This window comes from Homo sapiens, chromosome 3, assembly GCF_000001405.40.
Source record: "Homo sapiens chromosome 3, GRCh38.p14 Primary Assembly".
NCBI classification, from domain to species: Eukaryota; Metazoa; Chordata; class Mammalia; order Primates; family Hominidae; genus Homo; species Homo sapiens.
The window spans coordinates 107,734,304-107,752,058 of NC_000003.12; the positions used below are offsets into that span (position 1 = coordinate 107,734,304).

Genomic DNA, 17,755 nt, shown 5'->3' on the forward strand with positions numbered 1-17,755 from the left:
AAATGTGTAAAAAATGCACTGGTAGTTACTTTGTGCTAATCTTCAGCTGGAAAAACATACATGTTACTTTGTGCCTTTGCATATTCATTATTCATCATGTTTGTAGTTTCTAACATAATAGCATTGTCAGGCATCATTTCACTTTCTAACACATTGCTGCTACCTCTTAACAAATCAAACTCTCACTTAGGTGTAGAGTATCCCAAGCGTGTTCCAAAGGTGAATGTTGGACTAATAATATGCACTTGACCTTTCAACATGTCTGACTCAATATGATTCCCAAGAATACATTGAATTGTGAAAGCCAGCATCATCTTTCTTAACTATTTAAATTATCATAGTGTTTCATTCGCAACATCTATTTAGTGTTCTTTTTAACCTTCAAGTACAAATGTAAACAAATCAACGTCTGTAGAACTCATGGATGCTAGTCAAAGAAAAGCATGGTTTCTTTTTCCCCTTTTTGCTTAAAGTTTGCCTTTTGGGCTCTTTTCAATGAGAAGTTCTCCTACTCCTTCTTAAGAAGGCAGAGTTTTGACACATGCAACTCAATACTGTGGTGGACCCTTTATCTCTGAAGTGGAAATGTTTTGAGAATTCTCAAGCTGAAGAATCAAAGAAAGCTAAATGATTGAAAGAAGGGAACCATAATGGGAGAAGAGAATCTATGCTAAGGAAGAAGGTGGTAGCAGTTAGGTCTTTAAGAATCACTTCAAAGAACACAACTCTTTCTTCATATTCAGTATTTCCCATCTCAGAGATATTTGGGTCATTATTGAAAATAGTCTTGAGATATTTAAACAGTGAAAGTTGTATAAAATAATGCTGTCTCTAAATATAGGTAGTTTGAGAATTTACTTCACAGCTATCAGTAGACTGCATTAGCACCTGAATTTCTATCCGAAGTCTTATTCCAGATATGTAGACATGATAATGAACTTTAAGAGCTTATATGCATAGGCAGATGAACATGGGACAAATGTAATAAATATGTACTTATGTTTTCCTAAGAAGACTAGCAGGATAATGAGATAAGAGAAATACAGAAATTTCATATTTCTGACATTTAGAACAATTACTGTGAAGTCTGTTGGTACTGTGAGGTAAGACCAAAGTGACATTTTCAAAAATTCTGCCACCAGCAAATGGTCTAATCATACTGGCTTTTAAAAATGCCATGACAGAACCCTTATTCTGAAATATTATTCTTAAACAGAGAAGGTTTTCTTTTGTTCACTGACTTGAGACCTAACCATATAGAAAAAGTCCTCAAAAGACTATTTTTTTAAATATGAAAATTTTAACATAGGGAATAGATTTCTTTTAAAAAAGCATCTCTAGAGGGTAGAGAGGCTTACTGTAACTGAAATAATAAAGTCCCAGATTAAAAGCCTATACTGCTTCCTAGATCTACTGAAATGCACTTAGAGTTTTTAGAGAGAAATTATAATTTCTTGAGATATCAATCGCAAATAATAACAAACAAAATGTTGTGTATTCTCTTTTTTTCTGTCTTCTGATCAATTCTTAATCTACAATAATAGATTTTTTGCATTATTATTTCAACATTTTTTATGTGCCTCTATTACTAAGCCTAGCGTGGTTCTATAGTCTCATTGTGGTAACTGGGTCTGTGATGAAAAAAAATGGATGCGTTTTGATAGTTTGTTTTGTTTATTTTATTTGCACATAATCGGCCTTGTTTTTTTATACCCAGAGTACATTGAAATGCATAAATTATTTGGGATAAATTATTTAAAACAATGTTGGTTGTTACAGAATTTATTGATTGAGGAAGCAAAATCGATACATTGAGCACGAAAGACATAAAGGAGTGACTCCTGGCTCAAAATAGCAGACTAAGCATGTCCCTACTGAGACCCTGTAAAATAGAAGTATAGAAGTCTCATTAGTAAATAACCCCATAATAATAAAGGAAATGGAAAGGAGTGTGTCCAGTGAATATGAGATTACAGCAAATTATTTAAATCAGAAATCAAATGTAGTTCTTTAATCAGTAAAATGTAAGTACCAGACAAAAATAGGCGGCAGGGAGCTACAACGGAGATGACAGCCTCTCTATTAAATAGAATGCCCAGAAGTTTAAGTGAATATCACCTTTTTTTTTTTAATTTAAAGAACCAGAAATAAAAATGTAGAACAAATAAAAGTAATCATGTTCACATCAAACTCAGGGAAGAACTAATGAGAAGGCAGAGAATTAAGCCTTTATGTTTTATACCACAGAGTTATCTAAAAATGAAAATACAAAAAATTGTCAGTACTTGATCTAGAATTTCTAGAAGTAATCTCCAGGACTAGAAATCCTTATATTTGTTAGTTATCTTAATAAAAATGGAAAGCTAAATTAAATCTTAAAAAACAAGGCAGGGAGTGATATAATTCAGATTGTGGAAGGGGCAGTTATTCACCATGTCATGTATACAACAACTTGGATTGATCTCAGAAAGGATGACATCCAGTATCAGACCTAAGTGAGCAACGTAAATTCATCTTGGCTAGAACAGAAGGAGAGGGGTGGTTGGAGAAAAGTAGAATATAAGTTAGTCAGATTAATTATAGCTGATGAAAAGCTTCGAAGGTATCAATATCTGTGTAGTTGTATGACTGTTGGAAGCTAAACTTTCAAATATATGGGAAGTACCTTAGACTTTGGGTCTGTGATTTTAGAATGCCTGTTTTGTTGGAGCCAGCAGATAATGACAGTAAAGTATTGATCAAGCCACTCTTTTCTTTGCCTTCCATCCTATGAAATGGAGCTAATAATACCTGCTTGCCTTCAAATCTCAAGGCTACAGTGAAGATTAATTAAATAAAAGCTGTAAGGCACTTTTAACTCTCCTGCAAATAATTCTTGTAGGTATATATTATTGCCATTAGTTATTCTAGGCATTTCATATTCAACTTGCAAGTTTAAATTATATCAGACATTTCTCCCACAGGCTGATACGCTTTACCAGCAACATGCATACATACACACAGAGAGAGAGAGAGAGAGAGAGAGAGAGTTCTTGTCTATTGAAAACTTAGCAGAAATTACCGTTGTAATTTACTATCTTTATCATCAGGTGCTCAAGAAGGAGACAATTTTTTAATATCTGGGAAAAATCAGTATAGGAAGTCCAAAGTCAGCAGAGTAGCTGAGTTAGTGTCAGATTAGTGGAGAAGATGCTAATAGATGATGGCACACCTCCATAAAAGGACTGTAAAGGTCGTGTTCTCTGAGAATTGAACAGTGCTGAACTGTGTGCCATCTTTTCTTATATTTAATTACATGACAAGTGTTTATTGAATGCCTTGTATGTGTAAGGCATGTCAGGGAACAAACCAGACAGCCTGAAGCTGATATTGTCTTAAGGTTCAAGTTTTTAGATATAGCAAATTCTTCACATGATACTTCTAGCTTAAAAGGAAATCACATTGATTTTCGTTTGTTCACCATGATCTGCCTATTTTAAAATGTTTACAGCTTATGCATCAAGATTTCTTAAAATCCAAAAATATAGGTTAAATATTGCTTATTCAAAACGCTTGGGACCAGAAGTACTTCAGAGTTCCAGTTTTTTTTTTTTTTTTTTTTTTTTTTTTTTAACTATTTGTATGATCCTTACCTTTTGGGCATCCCAAATCCAAAAAATTGAGATCTGAAATGCTCTAGTGAGCATTTCCCTTTAGCATTATGTTGGCACTCAGAAGGTTTCAGATTTTTTTGAGCATTTCAGATTTTTGGATTGGGGATACTGAACCTGTAATAAATATATTTTGCCTTGTAAGTTTGTAATATCAATCTGTCACCTCCTCCAGGAAGTCCTTCATGATTTCTTGAGCCATATTCAATTCTCTGTTTATTCTAATCTCTTATATCCCATATTGTTAGTTTCATACCTTACAACACTGATTATATTTAGTTTTATAATTTATTATAAACTGTATAATAAAAGTCATATTTTAAAAAATTTTCTTATTGTATTATATGTAAGTATTGTCTCTAGAAGACTAAGAAACTTGGGATCAAGAACAATGACAAGATTTAAACTGCAGCAGGTCTACCCACTTGCCTGGAGAATAGTTGTTATTATATCACAACTAACATGTATTGAACATTGCCTCCAAGGCTCAATTCTTAAGTGTATTCCGTAAGACTAACTCTTAATCCTTGTAACAATTTTGTGAGTTAAGTCTTATTTACCTTATAAGTAAATATTTACCATTAGGTGAGGAAACAGAGGCAGAGAAGGGTAAAGTAACAGCCCACGATGGTGAGGCTACAAAGTGGCAGAACTGGGATTCCAACGCCGGAGGACTAGCTTCAGTCTTCTTGCAGCACGCAGGGGCCTTGGTGATTCAGCCTCTGACAATCCAACCTTAGCTCTGGCCACTTCTCCTGTGTCCTGTGTCCTGTGTCCTGTGCTGCACCCTTACTGAAGCTCATCACTGCCAGAGCAGGGGCATTTTGTGAGTGCTTTCTGGGGCCAGGCACTGTGTTCACAGTTGACATTGAGTATCTCATTCTCTCAAGAACCCTCTGAGGCTGGTTTATTATTTTCCCCATTTTGTAAATGAGGAAACTAGGTCAGAGAGGTGAAATAACTTCTCAAAGGTCGTAGAATGAGGAATTCATAATACTAGAATTACACCCACATTGTTTTTCATTAAATGATGAGATAGGCAAAAATCTGAGACACAGAAAGGTTGAATTTTACCAATATTTGTTGGATAAAGGAATGATTATGTCCACATCTTAAATGCTGAGTTTTTAACAATTTTAAACAAATACAGATTTAAATAAAATGGAAACTTTTCACTTTCTTTATTCTAATTTCTAACATCAATGAAATGAGGCTATTTATATGTTCCTGCTTGTTGGTGTATTTGAATTAATTAGATATGTGCCTCCTTTAGGCTGCTAAATTTGACTATTCCAGAATACTTTAATCCATTGAATTCCAAACTCCTTGCCCCAGTTCCTACCTGAACCTCATCAAAACTTTTATTCCCTTCTCATAGTTTTATAGCTTACTTTATTTAAATTCTACACTGAAAAGGAAATGGGCTCTCTGAGCTTCCTCTTTTCTTGGGTGGCTCCCCCTTTATGTCACTCTTCACTGCCCACTTTGGCTGGACCTGCCCATCCAAATCCAATGGTAGAACCCAGCCTCTACCATCTGTCCACTGTGGGGCTCAAGCCCAGATAATTGGGTCCTTTTACCCAGCTTGATTGACAAATCACACATCCTCCGTAAGTCCCTAAGCTGCGTTGATGAAATTGAGTATGCTCGTTGGGCTCTCAGAGATGAAGGCAAAGGTAGAGTGGAAGGTGGGCAGAAAGAGAGCTGGGCTCGAAAGAGAAGGGTGGAGAGCAGGAAGATAAAGGAGGCATCCTTCACAAGAGAGGTGTGGTTATTGTCAATTAGGTGGTTGTTGGAGAGCACATTGATGTACACTGTTGCATTTTATTCTCACAGTTTACTGTGAAGAAGGCAAGTAGACAGAGTGGCATTGTACCTACTTTATCAAATGAGGAAACTGAGGCAGAAAGGTGATCGGAGTTATCTCAATTGCTACTGCAGTTATTTTTACAACTGGCCTGGAGTCTGTTCTGGACTTTCATACTAGTGCTCAGCCACACAGATTATAATGTTAGGAGAACTTGACTCATGGGGTAAAATCCATACTCCAGCAGCCCTGATGCCCTGAGTAAAACCAAGGATGTGTTCTTCCATTTAGCCAGATGACTCGACATGTATTCTGCTTGTGGGAGAGCTCAACTCTATGTGGTGCTGTTGGGTTATGCCCCCCGTGGCGGCCCAGGACTCTTCTCAGATGTAGTGCACCGCTTGTGTCAGGTAGCCGAGTGCAGTGCGTTAGTAACCAGCTTCTCCTTTAACTCTCAGATGGAATCCTCTACCCCAAAACCATCTCTTCTCATAAAAGACACTCACTGCCTCCTTCCAAACCTCCTTCCATCTCTCAAATTTCCTCTTTCAGTGAAAGCTTTAACTTACCTTGGAAACACAGGCATTGTGTTTCTGACCCCTTTCCCTCAGCTCTGACATCTTTCCAGACAATTACTGAAGCCTGGCAGTTACCATCTTTGATTCAGTTGGAGTCTCACATCTCAAATGGCTTATTTCCTTAATCTTCTAATTAGCCTCCTGCCTCCAGTCATCCCCAGACAGCGTCACCCTGCACTCCACTGACAGAATTACCTGACTACACATCTCTCTGACTGAAAATCTTGGCTGGCTCCTCACTGCCTCCAGCCCAATTTTCAAACTTCTTCATGTAGAATTCAGATTCTCCCACTATACTCCAATGCATCTTATTCTTCAGCCACACTGAGAAAGTCACTCTCTCAAACACACTGTGTTCTTACCTTCATACTTTCCCACCTCCTGTTACCGTATCATTTCTACACTTGTGAGAGAACTGGTTTTCCTAAGGTGTATCTTAGATGTTATCTATCTTCCACCTGTTCCCACACAGAGTGAAGGCTGCCTCTCCGTCCTCCTGTAGACCTTGTAATATTCTACCATTATGCACTTACATTTTTGTATATGATGTTGCTGTCCCCTGCATATGAGTTGCAAGCAACTAAGGCTTAGGCACATTTCCTTTGGTCATCATTTTATTCCCTAACACATACTAGATACAAGTAGAATACAAGCTTCTTGAAAGTAGCAGTCTTTGTGTCTGGCATGTCATAGGTGCCTATTAAATATTTGTTGAATGAGTGAGTAATCAATAAATGTTTGAATTAGCAAGGGTAGGAACGTATGGCTCAGATACTACCAGTGCAATACTCCTTTTGTTGACCGTGTGTTCATGCCGGCAGTGCATGGTTGTGGTCCTGTGTTTTGCAAAGTAAGGACAGGCTCATGATAACAACCTAGCTTTCCACACTACTCACAATGCATGTAACTGGCTTGATCTTGTTTTATATCAGGAGGCCAGTTCACTTTTTTATGTATTCAATTTCACTATGTGAATTGCTCCTGTGAAAAAAACTGCATTATTGTAATTCTTAATTATACTAATCACTCCCCTTCCATGGTTATTGAGAATTATAACTAAATCAAAGAGAGGATTGAATTTGGGGAAATCAAATGAATATGTACTTAACAAAAATCCCGTTAGCTATTTTTGTTTTTGGGCATATAGCAACACCTAGTGGCTTTATCGATTATTTCAGAGACTATTTCTAGAAACAGCTTCTTGGGTTTTTTTCTCCCTTATTAAATAACCACTACTTATTTAATATTTTTTCTTTCCTCTTAATTAACGAACAAATATCTTTGACTATTTTGTATTTAGAAAGTAAACTGGCTCTAGCATAGGAATAGATATTACAGAATTGATGTTTATCCATAAAAAGTGTGGCCCACCTAATAAAAATAAGTGAAGTACTTTAAATGCAGACATCACAATGATATGGCACAATATTTTAAACATTTCACAACATCTAGAACCTTCTGAATAATGACATTACTCAAATGGGAGCCTTTTGTGGGAAGTATTCTCTCCCTTTTATATAGATAGAATTTCTTATTTCTTTATCAAATTCATGTGTAGATCAGTGTATCCACAGATATATACATTTTATGGGTTGCCTTACTTATCAAGTACTCAATAATGAATTCTTCATATTTATATTTGCCATGTCATTGAACCATTTTTATATTTTGAGATTTTAGATCCCCAGAAGAAATATGTCTAACCTGTATCACACAGATTTCTGCCTTCTTAATAAATGATATATTTTACAATTTTTCTTACGTTGACAACTTAGAATTATAGTTGTAAATAATTATTGCATTGAGCTGATGCCTTCTTGAGAAATTTGGGGGCTGTTTTCCCTATTCAATTTGTTTTAGACAGACTCTAGTGCTTTATGAAACATTTGTATCTGTTCTTTACAGCTTTTCTGTCTTCTCCTTCTGTCTTATCCTGCTGCTGGCATTGTTTCTTTCCTTCCCAACCCTCCTTTTTCTTTTTTTTTTTTGTCGGCCCTCTTGGCCCCTTCTGATACGCTGCCTCTATTCTTTTGTGGACTAGAGGGTCAGCTAACCAAGTCAGCTAACTACATAGCTTAGTACTCTCCCAATTCTCCTGGCTCCTAATTTTGTGCTGTTTCCACTATACTATACTGAAGATGTATGCTAAATCCGTAATGCTTTAAAGTAAGAATAACTAGGTTTTAAGAGAGGACATGGTCCACTAGAGTAAAATCCACAGCATTAGTGATTCTATTACTGTTATTTTAGCCATTGGATAGCATTTGTTGTACTCCTGGCCAGGTCACTGAGATTCTTCCTATTCACATACATATGGAGAGAATTAAGTTAATAGATATTCATTGTGCCACCCCCTCTTTGTCAGGAGCATGATAAGCACAAACATGTGTAGACTTATTTGATTGCATGCTAAAATTGACAAACCATGTACAGGATTATAGATGCCTTCATAATTATGTGTTCATATAGGAAGTTTTATATAAGACCATCCATCCTAAAGATTTGCAAACAGTATTATTGAACTTTTAAACTTTCTGACTTGATGTGTTGTCGTGGCCAAATAATCTATAAATGACACTTAAAAGAAAGTTGAATTTTCTTCATGCTGTTAATGTGAACTCTAAGCCATAGGGTAATTTACCTCCTCATAAATGGTCACTATTTCTTGTGAATTGTGGGATCTGAAATAAGCATGTATGTCATATAGACTTTATGCAGTGGAGCAACTCTAAATAATAATACGTTTAATTCCAAATATATTTTATAGATTTCTGTCTTATGCACACCTGTTTTATTAAAGTTTTATGAAGACATTTTATAATTTTCAAAAAGTCCTAAGCTTGAATGTAAGTAAAATTTTGATTATTTACCAAATAATCTAGGAGCCAAAAATATATTTTTTGATAAAGCAGAGAAGTTGATTTTTTTAAAATACCTCTAAATTATAAAGATATATTTTGTTCTGGTATTCCTACCAATAAAGGAGTTCTCAATTTTTTGTGGCTACGAATTTCAGGATTTGTTGGCCTTTTTAATTCATTTTGTGTCTCCTTGGTGGGACATTTGGCACAGCATATCAAATAGTGACAATAAGAGAGTCAGGCTTTGCAGCCAAACCACAGGTGGCAAATTAATAAAAGCTTCTGCACCTTCACTAATGTGCTTATCTCTGGGAGAAGGTGACCATTACTCTTTAAAATCCAAAGGTGACAATTAAAATTTCAAATGTTTGCTCCTGCCCAGTGGCCTGTGACATTGTTAGAGAAACACGTCCTCAATGTCTTAAGAGGGTCAGTGAGAAACTGTTTTTAGGAGCATAATCTGGGTAACTAGTAGCTCTTTCCATAGGATTTATCCATCAAATATAATCACATGCAGCTATTAAAATTACACTAGAGAAGACTTAGTGATGCAGAAAAATTAATATTAAAGTTTTTTTAAAAAAGAACATTCTGTAACTGTGGTAGAATATTCTATTTTTGTTAAAAAATTACACAACTGGAAGAATATATAAGAGTATTAACAGTACTTATCTTTGGGAGGTAACATTGTAGGTGATTTTTCTTCTTTGTTTTAGTGGTTTTTTTTTTTTTTTTTTTTTTTTTCAGATTTTTAACAGTGAACTTGGATTATTTTGTAATCAGAAAACAAGTTATTAAAAAGTATTTGTAACTTTCATTTTTTTCTTTAAAGTGAAAGATTATTTTTCCCCCTAGACTCTCTAACTTCATTATTCAGGAAAAGTGGGAAGGAATCACACTGAATTGGGGTTAAGAGAACTGTTGTCAGCTTTCATTAGTTCACTCCACAAATACTTGTTGAGTATCTACATTGTGCCCAGGCAGTGTTGGGGATAATGCATTAAATAAAGTCTCTGGGAGAGGATGTACAATAAATAAATATTTACATCTTGTGGTGATCAGTGTTTAATAAAGATGGGATTTTTTAGCATTGGGAGAGGAAGTGTCAAAGTTTCTTCCTCTTTGAAAAGTGAGAGGTTTAGATCACAGGAATAATGAAATCCTTCCCTCTCTAACATTCTAAGCTTCCTATGACTTTTGAATAACAGTTGACTACCAAAGCAGTTGTCACAAAGCAAATGCAAAAGTGGGTCAATGTTAGCATTGAGATAAAAGAGGAAATGTATATCCTGAGAAAAATACTTGATTAAAAAGTGATGTTTCTGTAACTGTTGTTGATAATAAAGATCGCAAATGAAGATAGAGCATTAAATGTTTACCTAACACAGTAAATAGTACAAAAGAAAATATGATATCTTTCTTTGTTTCAGGTATCCTCTGGCACATGCAGGCCTGATGTTTCAGAATCTCCTGAATTACGTCAGAAGTCACCATTGTTTCAGTTTGCCGAGGTAATATATTACAATTGATACTTAACTAATGAGGAAATTGTAAAGTGGGCTTAAATTGGGGCTGATAACAGTAACTGAAAGCAATGAAGAACTCTACTCAGCTCAACCATAAGTGGGAAAATAGAATCAAATTTTGGAAAAGATATTTTGGGTCTCTAGAGTTCTTAATTAAGAAATAACTACATTTATGCGTTTATAGAAGCTTATCATTAAAGTCATACTAAATATTATTAACCTCATTACTAATTTTTACTCATGGATAGTAAGGTTAAGAATATATTGAATTACTATTAGAATTTAGTCATTTGTTGATGTGTTTATTTGATAAAACAGAAGACAAAATCAGCTCATGGTTATTGGCTATGCAGCTAATCTATGCATTTCTTTTTCTTTTCTTTTTTTAGTGCACTTTCATCTTAATTGAAACTTTAGCATGAGGTTGGCAGTTTTCAAAGTCTTCTTTTGTCAGACTTGTTCAGCTCAATAGGTCTCTTGACACTGGTTCAAAGAGATGGTGTATAAAAGCACATTGTCCTTGATATCAAGTCTAAAGTTTAAGACTGCTCAGAATATCTTAATTTACTCTGGAACTCAATATGAGCCCTCACTGATACATTTTTTTCTTAAACTTTAAGCCACCTGGTCTTTCCTTGATCATTTGAATTGTCTTTGACTACACATTCTTCACCACTGTCATCCTTCCTGGTGTTTGCCCAACTGTTTTACAGTTTTATACAGGGGGAACATTTTTTGTTTTTTATTTTTTTTTAAGAGAGAGTCTCAATCTGTCATCCAGGCTAGAGTGCAGCAGCATGATCATAGCTCATTGTAACCTGAAACTCCTGGGCTCAAGGGATCCGCTTGTCTCAGCCTCCTGATAGCTAGGACTGCAGGCACATGCCACCATGCCCAACTAATTTTTTTTTTTAAACAGGGTCTCACTATGTTGCCCAGGCTGTTCTTGAATTAGTGATCTCAGGCGATCGTCCCACCTCAGCCCGTCAGAGTACTGGATTACAGGGCATGAGCCACCATGCTCAGCCTGCACTCTTTTTTGTCAAAAGCAGTTATAAACATGTTAAATAAGATTGGTCCCAACTTTGAAAGCAGAACGGCTTAAGAGATGATCCTTGAACCTCTAAAGATCTAATGATACCTCTAAAATTTCACAGGAAATTTTGGATATGTTAGCATGTGTACATTTTTGTGGCTTCTAACAGCATATCTAAGATCCAGAGAGATCCCTGATCCTATTGCTTTTATATAAAAGGTCTCTATCTCCAGGAGCTCCTATTTATGTTATTAATTGAAATCTTTATCTTAATTTATAATAACATCCCCCTCCCCCTTTTTTTAGAACTTCTGAGATACTTTTCACAAAATTGGATGGATTGTAACACTGGTTCTATTTTGTTCACTGCTTGATTTAATTCTTAAAGGAATATATTGTATTTAGGTATAACCTACAATATTTGTGTATTTCCCCTTATATAAATTGTTTATTTTTTTCTAACTTTTATAGAGGGTTGGTAGGGATGAAAAGTGATGTCTGAAATAAGTTGTACTGAGTTTATAATTCCTAAGATTACAGGAAGATTTCTCTGGGTTCATTTTTGCATTCTGTCATACTTGCACATGGTGGTCACTTGAAATGATAAGATTCATGGTTTGACCAAGAAAAGTTCTAAAATTTTATCCTTGAATGTCTTCAGAACACTTGGTTAGATCTTACAATGGATAAAATGGTTTATTTCTACCTAGTTTGTTAAATTGGATTTGGTTGATATTTGTTCTTCTTACTGATATTTATTCTAAAAATCCTTATCAGATTAAAAAGCACAGTAGAATGAAATTTTCCTGATGGCTTCAGCAGTGAATACAATTAATTACTCAGTCAGTCTCTCTACTAATTTTTTTTTTTTAATTTTGAGACAAGGTCTTGCTATGTTACCCAGGCTTGTCTTAAACTCCTGGGCTCAAGTGCTCCTCCCACCTAGCCTCCCAAAGTGCTGGGATTACAGATGTGAGCCACACTATGCCAGCCTCCTGATTCTTTCCCATTCCTAAACATCACTTTTATATGTATAACTACGTGGCCCTGTTGTTTTTCTAACCAGTTTAACTAAAACGAAAAAGCAGTTTTTGTGATGAAAGAGTTTTGATGAAGTGGATTTACTGCTTAGTAAGTACCCTTTGATGGAGTTGTTGGTGAACAGTTACTTGAAGGAAAGACTTGTGGGATTGGGAATGGGCTGAAGTTATTATGATGCCCAGGCTTTCTGCTCCTGTGACCCACTTTTACCCTGTATTATAGCTGAAAAAAAGTTTTTTTCACTTTGGAACCAAAATTACTAACTCACCTTGCTCCCAAAATGTCCTTGAAAAGTATTTCCACATGTTCCTCTGAGCAAAGTTGAAGAAAGCTACCATAATTGCCAACTGGAAACAAAAGGTCCCCTAGTTGAATCAAGTGTAGGGTGGCAGACTCTTCCATTCATTGTCACACACTAACGTGTGAGTGTGTGTGTGTGTGTGTGTGTTTGTGTTGGGTGGGAGGACGCAGGTGCTATGAAAGAAGAAAATGCTTTTCATATTTAGTAAACAATTTATTGAGTTCTGGTGCCATGCTAGGTAACATCTTTTATGGCTTATTTTTTTTCACCATAATCCTCTAAAATGCAGATTATTATCATCATCATCAATTTACAGTGGTGAAAAATAAGTCTTAGAAAGTTTAGCTGAGCTGGCCAAGGTCATGTTGTGGGTAAGTAGCAGAGCTGAGATTCAGTCTCCCAGATACCCTGACCCATATCCATATGCTTCACCAACACTGCATCACAGCTGCCTCTAACTAGAGAACAGCTTGGAAGGAGTGGTATTGGGAAGAGAGTGAGGGAGTGGCTTCACTTGCAACCTCCAGCTTTTAACAATATACATTTTTTCCTTTTTTTTTTTTTAAGTAAGGAAATTTATGTCAACAGGTCTCCTTAACTGCTGTTTGATATATACCTGGTACCCTTACCAAAGACATGGCAAATGAGCCATACTCAGTCTTTGTTCTTTATAATCATCTGTTTTTAGAAACATGGCCTTTGTCTTCCCTTATCATTTATACTGCTCTTCTAAAGGGATTGAGGGTAATGACTCATTTTTAAATCTTTATCAGTGTCTACAGTTGAAAATATATGGCAGAATCTTATGATCTGATGTGGAAAAATGTCATTGTATATTAAAAATTGCTTGTTTCCTTTCAGATATCTTCAAGTACGTCCCACTCTGATGCTTCTACAAAGCAGTGTCAAACATCTGCCTTGTTTCAGTTTGCAGAGGTATGGCCTTTTTAAAATGCTTTTTAGGCTAAGAAAACTTGTTGAGCTCAGGAATACTGGAATGGAGTTTTAATAATGTATAGTGAACTTTAGGCATGCCTGTTGTCATTATTAACATAATACACATAACAGAATATTTATTGCTTTTTCTGCTGCCTTTGATCTAATCATAGTCAAATCAGCTCCCGATTTTACACCCATTTTATAAGTATTCATTAAAGAGTTCATTCAGAATACCAGTAATGTGTTTATTTCATTTTATCTTGTTTTTAATTTATTTTAAAAGCTTGGAAAAACTGCTGTCAACAAGAATGTCAGAGGCTTTCGATTTATTAAATTTTTCCAATAGTGAAATTAGATGCTATAATTCATGAATGACTCTCTCACAGTGATTGCAGTGGTGAATACGACCTGTTAAATCAGGTTAAATTAGCTTTCAATGTGATGTAGCTTCAGCCAGTATTTTTATTAGTATTTAATCCCAGGCTCAGATCAGATCAGCTTTTGTAAGATCTCAGACTTCCTTGGTTTGTCAGCCGAAGAGAGCACACACCAGAGGGTAATTTTTTTGGTTGGTGTGCTGCAGAGACAAATCTGATATTCTTGATTTTGCCACAGGAGCCCTGGCCTCAACCATATGCTCATTTCTAATGAGCACTATATGACAAATAATAAAACGTATACAGTTTATGAAAATAAGATGCTATCTGCTTTAGGTCTTTTCTTTTTTCCCTTTTTATCCCAACTAAAAAATGCATGTCATAAACCAACAATTTTTATAGGGTTGAGAGAAAATGACAAGCAGGACTGTGCTGTTTAATATTGATGTATTGAATCACTTTGATTCATTTGAATAAAGAATACTGCATAAATGGAATATAAAATGATATCCTTTTGGCAGAAGAAAACCTAGCATCTTACTTTGAAAATGAGAAAAAAATACTTTTGGCTCTTACATTAAAAAAAAAAAGCTGTTTCCTCTTGGGACAACTCGTGTCAACTACTATGACTTTATACCATCGGTTGGCCTGCTTATGTATTAGGCTTCCCTGCCATAGTATTTGCTTAGCTGCTGAGGGCTATTGTATAAAATTGGTAACAAAAATATATAATGTTATTTCATGAAGAATAATTTGCTTAATTAAACTGAATAAATTAAGATTTTGTTACAGTTTTCCATTATAATAAGCAAAATGTTATTTTCACTGTCTAGGGGAAGTAGATAATAATTGTTAATAATACTTTCTTGCTTTTCTCCAGTTGTTGATGCCCATTGATTCTTCAGAGTTAAAAAGGAATTTTGCCATATTGACTAAATTTATTTTTAATGTTGATGTCTGAGCCAGTTCTATCTAACTTTTCAGAAACATTTTTTTCAAAACAATTGATTTGCCATGTATTCTGTTTGATTAAATTCTATACTGCATAGCAGGAATATTAGAAAGGTAGCGGCTCATCTTTGACACACCTGATATTTACATATCCATTGACTACCAAGAGTATTCAGCTTAACTTAAAATACCAGTATGGAATATCTCAGCTGATGCTGGTTCTAACCGTTATCACCGCTCAGCATATGATTCAGTGTATGACCTCTTTTTTTTTTTTTTTGAGATGGAGTTTCGCCCTCATTACCTAGGCTGGAGTGCAGTGGTGCAATCTCGGCTCACTGCAACCTCCACCTCCCAGGTTCAAGCGATTCTCCTGCCTCAGCCTCCTGAGTAGCTGGGATTACAGGTGTCCACCACCACGCCCGGCTAATTTTTGTATTTTTAGTAGAGACGGGATTTCGCCATGTTGGCCAGGCTGGTCACGAACTCCTGACCTCAGGTGATCCGCCCGCCTCGGCCTTCCAAAATGCTGGGATTACAGGTGTGAGCCATCGTGCCTGGCCATGATTGTTATTTTAGCACCACTATCATCAGATTCATTAGGAGCTCCTGAAGCACTGGGGACAGCTCTAAGGGACTGGTTTGGTGGTGTAATAGCCACCATCCTGTGATTCTGCAGGATGAGATCCCATGCCTTTCATAAACTAATTTGTCCTTGCTGCTCCGTACACTAATTCTTGAATGAGATTTGGTCCTTGCCTCTTAATTATACTAAGTTTTCTTCTAGAGAAGAAAAGAACTTCTTACTTGGAGGAGAGAGTCATGCAGGGTGTCATTCCCAGAGGTTGCCCCTCTGCTCTACAGCACTCATCTCCTGAGGACTCTTGGGGTTTTTAGCTATAAAGTATATGCAGGATTTGAGGAGCCTTTTAAAAAATTATTAATTTGAAAACTTATTAGGAGTTGTTTCAAAATATAGGAAGGCATGTATGACAGAAAGACCAAAATAAAATGGATAGTGTAAAAATATATTATTTTCTGTTTTGCCCTAGAATGAGATGTAGTCCCTACAAGATATAACTTTTCCTAGTTATATTTTGTAACCATTGGTAATAGCCCTAGTTCCTCAGCAAGTTAAATTATTGTATCTTTGGTTATTTAGCTGTAAATGTTATATGTGTTTATACAAGAGTAGTTCATGGTTCTCAAAGGATACATAACCTCTCTCGTCACTTTCCTCCTCTGACCCAGCAGTACCCTAACTTTCAATCTTTAACATCTTACAATCTGACCATATTGTCAGACTAATACTGGGCTGGTTTTATTTAAGGCTAAATAAGAGCTAACTAGATGAACTAAGAAAAATATCTACTAAAATCTGCTATGAGCATATGTATTGCAACAGAAATAGAATAGGCTCTAATTACTCACTGCGATATCCCTAAAGCTCTTAGAATTATTTCATAAAACACCATCACCTTTGAGAAAATCCAAAGATTCTTGAAATTCTTGTTTTAATTAGTCAAAAGCAAAGGTTCTCAAACTTTACAATACATCACAGTCACCTAGAAGGCTGTTTACACACAGATTGCTGGGCCCCGCCACCAAAGCTTCTGACTGATTAAATCTGGTGTTGGGCCTGAGAATTTGCATTTTGAACAAGTTTCCTATTAGAGAACCACAGTTTGAGACCACTGCTCTATAGTTATGTGTTTTTTAAAAAACACCAAATTATTAAATCATTATTGTTAAGGCATTTATTAATATTTCTGGAACTTCACGGTGGAAGGGTCAAGAGAGGAAGGGATTGATGTATAAAAGAAAATTACTGAGTGGAAAGCTTTATATCCCTGTCTCTTTTCAGAGGGATTCCTGGTCCTATTATATACACTTAAAGAGAAGTGGGTGTTTATGTAATCTAGGAAACAATTTACTCTTTAAAAGTATTTAGCTTTGTAGTATCATTTTAAGATCAGGCGTGCAAAATTCTCAGAAACTATTTCCGTTCATTTTATTTACAAACTCTTTTAACACTGGGAAAAAGTTAACTAGATTTTCTCTTGAAAATGGGTCATTTATCGTGTAAAATATTTATCTTAGAAACATACTTTTAACAGTAAACCCTGGTGATTTCTTTAAGTCGAAAATGTTTTGTTTGTTTTGATTTTTTTTCATTGAGTCCTGGATCTCTTCCCTGCAAGATGAGAAAGATATTTTTCCTTCTTAACCAAATCTGATCATTGAAAAGCTCATTGAAATTAATCTATGTGGAGCCATGAAACTGAATAAAGCATATTTGTTTGTAGGTGCCTCATAAATGTTTACATTTAAGAGAAGAAAAATCAGGATTTAAAAAGAAATACAGACTGCAGGGACAGTTTCTCACTCACCACCCCCAATTTCAGCCTGTCTCCCATTCCAAGGTGAGACTCATATTTCATCCAGAGTCAGCTTGGCCCATCCAAAGTGCCATCTACTCTGTGTTTCCAGGCTCCGATCCATTAAGTTGGTCAGAATGAATTTCCTATCTGTGTCTTCTGTTGTTTACAGGTAGAGTGACACATCAGTTACTTTTTAGGTCTGGTTTACCAAAGACTAATGACCAGATATAATGTCAGAAGGGAACTGTTGTCTTTAATTATTTAACAGGCCTAAAAGCCATGACCAATCCACATATTCTCTGATCTG

At 35.7% G+C, this 17,755-nt stretch overlaps 1 protein-coding gene across 29 annotated transcripts in view; it reads left to right on the forward strand.

Annotated features, from left to right (window-relative positions):
- Nucleotides 1–17,755, forward strand: part of BBX (BBX high mobility group box domain containing) — a 288,378-nt gene that overhangs the window by 211,342 nt on the left and 59,281 nt on the right. For all 29 annotated transcript variants that reach the window (XM_024453646.2, XM_011513001.3, XM_047448599.1 and 26 more), the window contains 2 exons: nucleotides 10,327–10,407; nucleotides 13,662–13,736. In XM_024453646.2, the coding sequence (XP_024309414.1) occupies nucleotides 10,327–10,407; nucleotides 13,662–13,736 (156 nt within the window). The remainder of the gene's footprint in view (nucleotides 1–10,326; nucleotides 10,408–13,661; nucleotides 13,737–17,755) is intronic.